At 38.7% G+C, this 8,269-nt stretch overlaps 1 annotated feature.

Annotated features, from left to right (window-relative positions):
* Positions 754-1,953: an enhancer, noted in NCBI's record as "CDK7 strongly-dependent group 2 enhancer chr10:54258936-54260135 (GRCh37/hg19 assembly coordinates)". NCBI's record gives its function as "activates an origin of replication core promoter dependent on BRD2, BRD4, P300/CBP, MED14 and CDK7 cofactors, with strong dependence on CDK7, by STARR-seq in HCT116 cells {active_cell/tissue: HCT116}" and the evidence as "EXISTENCE:reporter gene assay evidence [ECO:0000049][PMID:35650434]".

The following is an 8,269-nucleotide window of genomic DNA, read 5'->3' as shown; positions in this document are numbered from 1 at the left end:
TTATTAATATTTATGCAATGAGATTCAATTTGACATTATGTATAAGATAATGTAAAAGATATATGTGTGTATTTTACATGCATAATATATGTACTTATAAATGCATAGAAAAACTTCTAGTCTACATAAAAACTCTGTAGTGTCTTCTCTACACAAACTGGGGAATCTAGAGGAATTACATTTGTGACCCATAAGAAAAAAAAACTTACTAAAATATAGCATGTGCTCATTAAAATTTCTGTCTAAAATAATCTGTTTCCTATCATACTAAGTAGGACAAGGCAATGTATCTTTAATTCATTCCAATTCAAAAAAAAATTCAACAAATGAAATGGTGTCTTGTCACACCCTGGTAGATGAAGTAAGAATTTGTGAGGGCTCTTCCTTGGACCACATCAATTGCAAACGAGATCTCTGCAAGTTTTTCACAAGGCTTTGCACTGGGAGAAAGCAGCACACTTAAAGACACAGATAAAGTCAGAGAATTATAAACAGTCAGATAAAGGTTCTGAAACTGTTCCGAAGATGAATAGTTGCAAAACTGAGAATGTTCTACATGAAGAGAAAAATATTTAGATGAGCCTTTTTAAAAGTATTTCAATGTAAGTTATACTACAAAGGCAAATACTTATTTTTGCGGTGGTGGTTCTTCCAGAGGGCAGAAACAGAAACAGTGGTTAAAATTTAGAATAAGGCTGATTTGGTTAGATATATTAAAAATTTATAACAAGTATAAATGTTCCAGCAATGAATTTTCTTGCTTCAAAAAGTATCATATTACTTACCTGACAATATCTTTTGAAATTCAAATTAGCATGCCTTTTGACAAAGAATTTTTACTTCAAGGACTTTATCTTCAAGCTATCGCACACATATTTTCAAATACATGTGTACCAACATGTTGGTTGCAGCATTGTTTATAAAAGCCATCTAGAAATCAGCAATCCAGAGAAGACCTACAGACCCTCTGAAGGAAGTGGACTACTCCTGAAGGACCCAGGAGACCCCCCAAAACTCTAAGTGCCCCAACTGCAGAAGTGGGAAAGGGAGACCCTCCTCTCCCAAACACACACCCCCACTGGAGACGCTGAAGGTCTGTTTGCAGGAGAAGTTTATGACCTTACCTGGAGCTGAGTCCATTTGGAGAGCCGAGTGAAATACAGGGGTACAGAAAGCAGCAGAAAGGCCCTGGGAGCTCGCGGGGTCCTGTAGCAGGCCATTCCTGCCTGGCAATACAGGGATCCAACGGGAGAGGAGCAGGGGGTAAAACTACACAGGGAGAAGCAAATCTCTAACTGAACTTCGTAACAATTTGAACAGGTGAGAAGCCTTCTGGCCAGCACTCGGGGGAGGATGTAAATCCGGTGTGCAGACTCCTTAGGCAGGGAAAGAACCAAGCCCTTTTCTTTCACAGCTGGGAGGCAGATAGCCTGGGGTATGTTTTCAAGCCTGTATCGCTCTCCAGCTGGAAATGGTCTGGGGGCTATTGATGGGGCACAATGGGAGTGAGACCGGCCCTTCAGATTGCGTGGGAACTGGGTGAGGCCTGTGACTGCCGACTTTCCTCAACTTTCCTGACAACCTGCATGACTCAGCAGAGGCAGCAATCATCCTCCTAGATACACAACTCCAATGACCTGGGAATCTCACCCCCATCCCTCCCAGCAGCCGCGGCAAGACCTGCCCAAGGAGAGGCTGAACTCAGACACACCTAGCCCCGCCCTCACCTGATAGTCCTTCCCTACCCACCCTGGTAGTGGAAGACAAAGGGCATATAATCTGGGAGTTCTAGGGCCCTGGCCACTGCCAGTTCCTCCCCATAATATCACAGCTGATACTCTCTGGAAAGTGCCACCTTCTGGCAGGAGGCCAACCAACACAAAAATAGAATATTAAACCACCAAAGCTAAGAACCCTCATGGAGTCCATTGCACACCCCCCACCATCTACACCAGAATGGGCACCGGTATCCATGGCTGAGAGACCCATAGAGGTTAACATCCCAGGACTCTGTGCAGACAACCCCAATATCACCCCAGAGCTGGGTAGACTCGCTGGGTAGCTAGACCCAGAAGAGAGACAACAATCACTGCAGTTCGGCTCACAGGAAGCCACATCCACAGGAAAAGAGGGAAAGTATTACATCAAGGGAACACTCTGAGGGACAAAAGATTCCAAACAACAGCCTTCAACCCTAGACCTTCCCTCTGACAGAGCCTACCCAAATGAGAAGGAACCAGAAACCAACCCTGGTAATATAACAAAACAAAGCTCTTCAACACGCCCCCGCAAAATCATACTAGTTCACCAGCAAAGAATCCACACTAAGAGGATATCCCTGATTTATCCAAAGATAAGACGAAGGACAGAATCTTAAGAGCTGTGAGGCAGAAGCACCAAGTAACCTGTAAAGGAACACCTATCAGATTAACGGCAGATTGCTCAGCAGAAACCCTACGATCTAGAAGGGATTGGGGCCCTATTTTCAGCCTCCTCAAACAAAACAATTATCAGCCAAGAATTTTGTATGCAGCAAAACTAAGCATCATATATCAAGGAAAGATACAACTGTTTTCAGACAAACAAATGCTGAGAGAATTTGCCCTTACCAAGCCACCACTGTAAGTACTGCTAAAAGGAGCTCTAAATCTTGAAACAAGTCCTGGAAACACATCAAAACAGAACCTCTTTAAAGCATAAATCACACAGGACCTATTAAACAAAAATACAAGTTAAAAAGCAAAAACAAAAAACAAAAACCCAAAGTACACGGGCAACAAAGAGCACGATGAATGCAACGGTACCTCACATTTCAATACTAACATTGAATGCAAATGGCCTAAATGCTCTGCTTAAGAGATACAGAACCTCAGAATGGATAAGAACTCACTAGCAAAAGATCCACACCAAGAAGCATGATAATAAGTCAATAAATGTGATACACCACAGAAAGAGAATTAAAAACAAAGATCACATGATCATCTCAATAGATTCAAAAATGTATTCAACAAAATCCAGCATCCTTTATGATTAAAACTCTCAACAAAATCGGCATACAAGGGACATATCTTAATGTAATAAAATCCATCTATGGCAAACCAACATCCAACATAATGCTGAATGGGGAAGGGTTGAAAGCATTCCCTCTAAGAACTGGAACAAGGTAAGGATGCCCACTCTCACCACTCCTCTTCAATGCAGTACTGGAAGTCCTAGCCAGAGCAATCAGACAAGGGAAAGAAATAAAGGACATCCAAATCAGTAAAGAGGAAGTCAAACTGTCACTGTTTGCTGATGATATAACCGTTTTCCTTGAAAACCCTAAGGACTCTTCCAGGAAGCTCCTAGAGCTGATAGAAGAATTCAGCAAAGTTTTGAGGTACAAAATTAATGTACACGAATCTGTAGCTCTTCTATACACCAACAGTGACCAAGCAGAGAATCAAATCAAGAACTCAACCCCTTTTACAATAGCTGCAAAAAGTAAAATAAAATAAAATAAAATAAAATAAAATAAAATAAAATACTTAGAAATATACCTTTGGATGCAGTCCAAAGACCTCTACAAGAAAAACTATGAAACACTGCTAAAAGAAATAATAGACAACGTAAACTAATGGAAACACATCCCATGCTCATGAATGGATAGAATTAATATTGTGAAAATGAACATACTGCCAAAAGAAATGTACAAATTCCATGCAATCCCCATCAAAATACCACCATCATTCTTCACAGAATTATAAAAAAAAATTCTAAAATTCATATAGAACCAATAAAAAGCCTGCATAGCCAAAGCAAGACTAAGCAAAAAGAGAAAATCTGGAGGCATCACACTACCTGATTTCAAACTATGCTATAAGGCCATAGTCACCAAAACAGCATGGTATTGGTATAAAAATAGGCACATAGACCAATGGAACAGAATAGAAAACCCAGAAATACACCCAAGTACTTACAGCCACCTGATCTTTGACAAGGCAAACAAAAACATAAAGTGGGAAAAGGACACTCTTTTCAACAAATGGTGATGGGATAATTGGCTAGCCACATGTAGGAGAATGAAACTGAATCCTCATTTCTCGCCTTATACAAAAATGAACTCAAGGTGGATTAAGGACTTAAACCTAATACCTGAAACTATAAAAATTCTAGAAGATAACATTGAAAAAACCCTTCTAGACATTGGCTTAGGCAAGGATTTCATGACCAAGAACACTTGCAAAAGCAAATGTAGTAAAAACAAAGATAAATATCTGGGACCTGACTAAACTAAAGAGCTTTTGCATGGCAAAAGGAACAGTCAGCAGAGTATATAGACAATCCACAGAGTGGGAGAAAATCTTCACAATCTATACATCTGACAAAAGACTAATATCCAGAATCTACAATGAACTCAAACAAATTAACGAGAAAAAAACAAATAATCTCATCAAAAATTGGGCTAAGGACATGAATAGACAATTCTCAGAAAGAAGATATACAAATGACCAACAAACATTTGAAATAATGCTCAGCATCACTAATGATCAGGGAAATGTAAATCAAAACCACAATGCGACACCACCTGCAAGAATGGCCATAGTCAAAAAATCAAAAAATAGTAGATTTTGGAATGGATGTGGTGAACAGGGAACACTTCTACTCTGCTGGTGGGAATGTAAACTAGTACAGCCACTGAGGAAAATAGTGTGGCGATTCCTTAAAGAACTAAAAGTAGAACTACCATTTGATCCAGGAACCCCACTACTGAGTACCTACTCAGAGGAAAAGAAGTCATTATTTGAAAAAGATACTTGCACATGCATGTATATAACAGCACAATTCACAATTGCAAAATCATGGAACCAACCCAAATGCTGGTCAATCAATGAGTGGATAAAGAAACAGTGGCGTGTATATATATGTGTGTGTGTGTGTGTGTGTGTGTGTGTGTGTGTGTGTGTGTGTAATGGAATACTATGCAGCCACAAAAAGGAATGAATTAATAGCATTTGCAGCGACCTGGTTGAGTTGGAGACTATTATTCTAAGTGAAGTAACTCAGGAATGGAAAAGCAAAGGTCATATATTCTTACTGATGTGTGAGAGCTAAGCTATGAGGACACAAAGGCATAAGAATGATACAATGGACTTTGGGGACTTGGGGAGAAGAGTGGGAGTGGGACAAGGGATAAAAGACTGCAAATATGGTGCAGTGTATACCGCTCGGGTGATGGGTGCACCAAAATCTCACAAATCACCACTAAAGAACTTACTAATGTAACCAAATACACCGGTACCTCAATAACTTATGGAAAAAAAGAGCCATCTAACTAAATTATAGAAAACATCCCCAAAAAGTTATGGTAAGTAGCAGCTACAAAGAATAAGGAAGATCTACATGACAAGCTATTCATCAAGTGGAAAAGGTTGCAGAACATTATGTCAAGTTGAATCTCATTTGTATAAGATGTAAAAGATATATGTGTGTATTATATATAATATACATATAAAAGATATATGTGTGTATTATATGTATAATACACACATGTGTATGTACATATGTACGTATGTACCTGTAAATGCGTAGAAAAATTATCTGCATAAAAATTCCCCGTAGTGATTTTTCCACATGAACTGAGGAATCTAGAGGAATTACTTTATCTTTGTATTGGTATTATTCTGTTTTTAAACATGAATTATAGCCTTTTTAATCTATAAACTAATTTAAAAGTTGTTGCATTTGTTATTAGAAGGATTTTCTAATTATCTAATAATTACATGCAATTATATCTATATTATCTATTATACTAAAGCTATAGTATCTGTAATTATGATATCTAATCTAATTATTAACTGCTATCAGTGACATAGTATTTCAGAGAATCTGTTTTGCCATCAGAACTAGAATCTTAGTTCTACAGCTTTCTAAATGTGAACTGTTGCTGGAAACTTATCTCTAAGCTATGAATTCCTTATCTGTAATGTGAGGATAAGTTATGAATTAAAATGAGGCTCAAATGAGATACAACTGAGAAGAGATTTCTCTATCATATGTAATTCTTGGAACAAGAATTTGTTAATTATATTAAGCTTAAACAAGATTACTATAACACAGTAGAGGCAAGGAGGAATATATATATATTTTTTTAATTCTCCAAGCTTCCCCCTTCAAGGCTTGAAATTTACCTTTATTGTCTTAAAGTCATAATAAATTATTTAAATTTTCTAAATTGAACAAAGACTTTTCTTGCTATGTTTTGTTCAGTTTGACCAAGCAGTTTCAAATTTTAATGTGAATAAAAATTATTTTATACAGTTGACTCTTACACAACACGGGTTTGAACTGAATGGGCAGTTCAAATCCCGCTTATGGCGGATTTTTTTTCAATAAGTGCAGTCAGGCCTCCACATTGTCAGGTTCCACATTGGCAACAAAATGCAGGTGGGAAGTGCAGTATTCTCGAGATGTGAAACTCACGTATAAGGAATGATGACTTTTTGTATCCATGGGCTCTGCAGCGCCAGCTACAGCATTTGATTATGCTAAGACTTTGGTTATTAGTGAGGGTCCTGGAAGCAATCCCTCACAGATATGGAGATATTTTTCAAAGGCAATTTTAACAAGGCATATTTTTAATATGCCAGTTTAAAAACTTACTACATGTATCTATAGGTCATTGGTTGAATTATAGCCCCCAAAAGATATGTCTACCTAAAACCTCAGAAAGTGACCTAATTTAGAATGAAGGTCTTTACAGATAAGGTAAGTTAAGGTAAGGTGAGGATGGATGTTGAGATAAGATTATGTGGATTAGAAAGATTATCTGTCATTGTCATCCAAGAGAAAGTGTCCTTATAAGAAACAGAAGAGAAAAGGACACAGAGACATGGAGAAGGCCATGTGAAGATGGAGGCAGAGACTGGAGTTATTCTGTCACAAATCAAGAGAGTCAGGCACCAGCAGAAACTGGAAGAGGGATAGAAGGACTTTCCCCTACAGCCTTGGGAGGGAGCCCTGCTGACACCTTGATTTCAGACGTGTTGCCTCCAGAACTGTGAAAGAATAAATTTTTATTGTTTTAAGCCACTAAGTGTTTTGTAATTTGTTATAACAGCCCTGGGAAGCTAATAAAATATGTAATGATCATATCGGTTATTGTCCTAACCAGGTCACTTCTGAGAATGAAAGGGAGCACTATGATTAAGTATACCAGTACAATCAAGATAAATAGAATTGTTCTTGAAAAACAGAACACATGGTCACTCAATCCATAAAACATGAGACTGCATCGTAATGCATGCAAAATGGTTAGCAGAGTGGCTCTAATAGAGTATGCCCTCAATTTAAAAAGTAACTTTTATTATAATTATATATAATTATATTATAAAAGGAACTGGGGCTCTGGAATTGTGGACGATCTGATTAGGGTTACAGGATGGAGGTAGTGCAAAGGAGAGGCAAGAAAATGAAGATGAGAGAAAAGAGAAATCATTGGCCAAAGGAAGATCTCTGTCAGACTAGTAGTAGTCAGGCAATTGCTAAGAATTCTGATTGCCACAGCTGCTCTCTGCCTAGACTGTCTTAGCCAAAAATCATGAATAATGTTCAAATTCTATCTCAGTTGAATAACTTGGAAACTCTGTCCTAATCTACTATTGAGTTGTAAAAGGAATCATCAGAATTTGAAAGAGTAGATGAGAAAATACCCATAAGTGTATTTAGAGACTAGATTCCTAGAAGAAATTTTCTTTTTCCTTTTTTTCTTTTTTAATGGAGACAGGGTCTTGCTCAGTGTTCTGTCACCCAGCCTGGAGTGCAGTGTCACCTTCACAGCTCACTGCAGCCTTGACTTTCGGGACTCAATCTATCCTCCTACCTCAGCCTCCTGAGTAGCTGGGACTACAGGCATGTGCCACCATGCCTGGCTAATTTTTGTAATTTTTGTAGATATGAGGTTTCACCGTTGTCCAGGCTGGCTTGTCTAGAACTCTGGGGCTCAACCAGTCTGCCCCCATTGGCCCCTCAAAGTGCTGGGATGGAAGGCGTGAGCCACCATGCCTAACCTAAATTCCTAGGATAACTTCTTCTAATTCAACTACCCAACAAGAAAAACTTAGTGTGAGAACTCAAAGAGACATTGGCCTAGCCAGTCGAATTCTCTATTTTAAAATTGGAAGTGACTGGGCACGGTGGCTCACGCCTGTCATCCCAGCACTTTGGGAGGCGGAGGCAGGCGGATCACGAGGTTAAGAGATCAAAACCATCCTGACTAACATGGTGAAAC

The sequence above is a fragment of the Homo sapiens genome, chromosome 10 (assembly GCF_000001405.40).
Source record: "Homo sapiens chromosome 10, GRCh38.p14 Primary Assembly".
Taxonomy (NCBI): Eukaryota; Metazoa; Chordata; class Mammalia; order Primates; family Hominidae; genus Homo; species Homo sapiens.
This window is presented reverse-complemented; position numbering and strand designations above follow the sequence as displayed.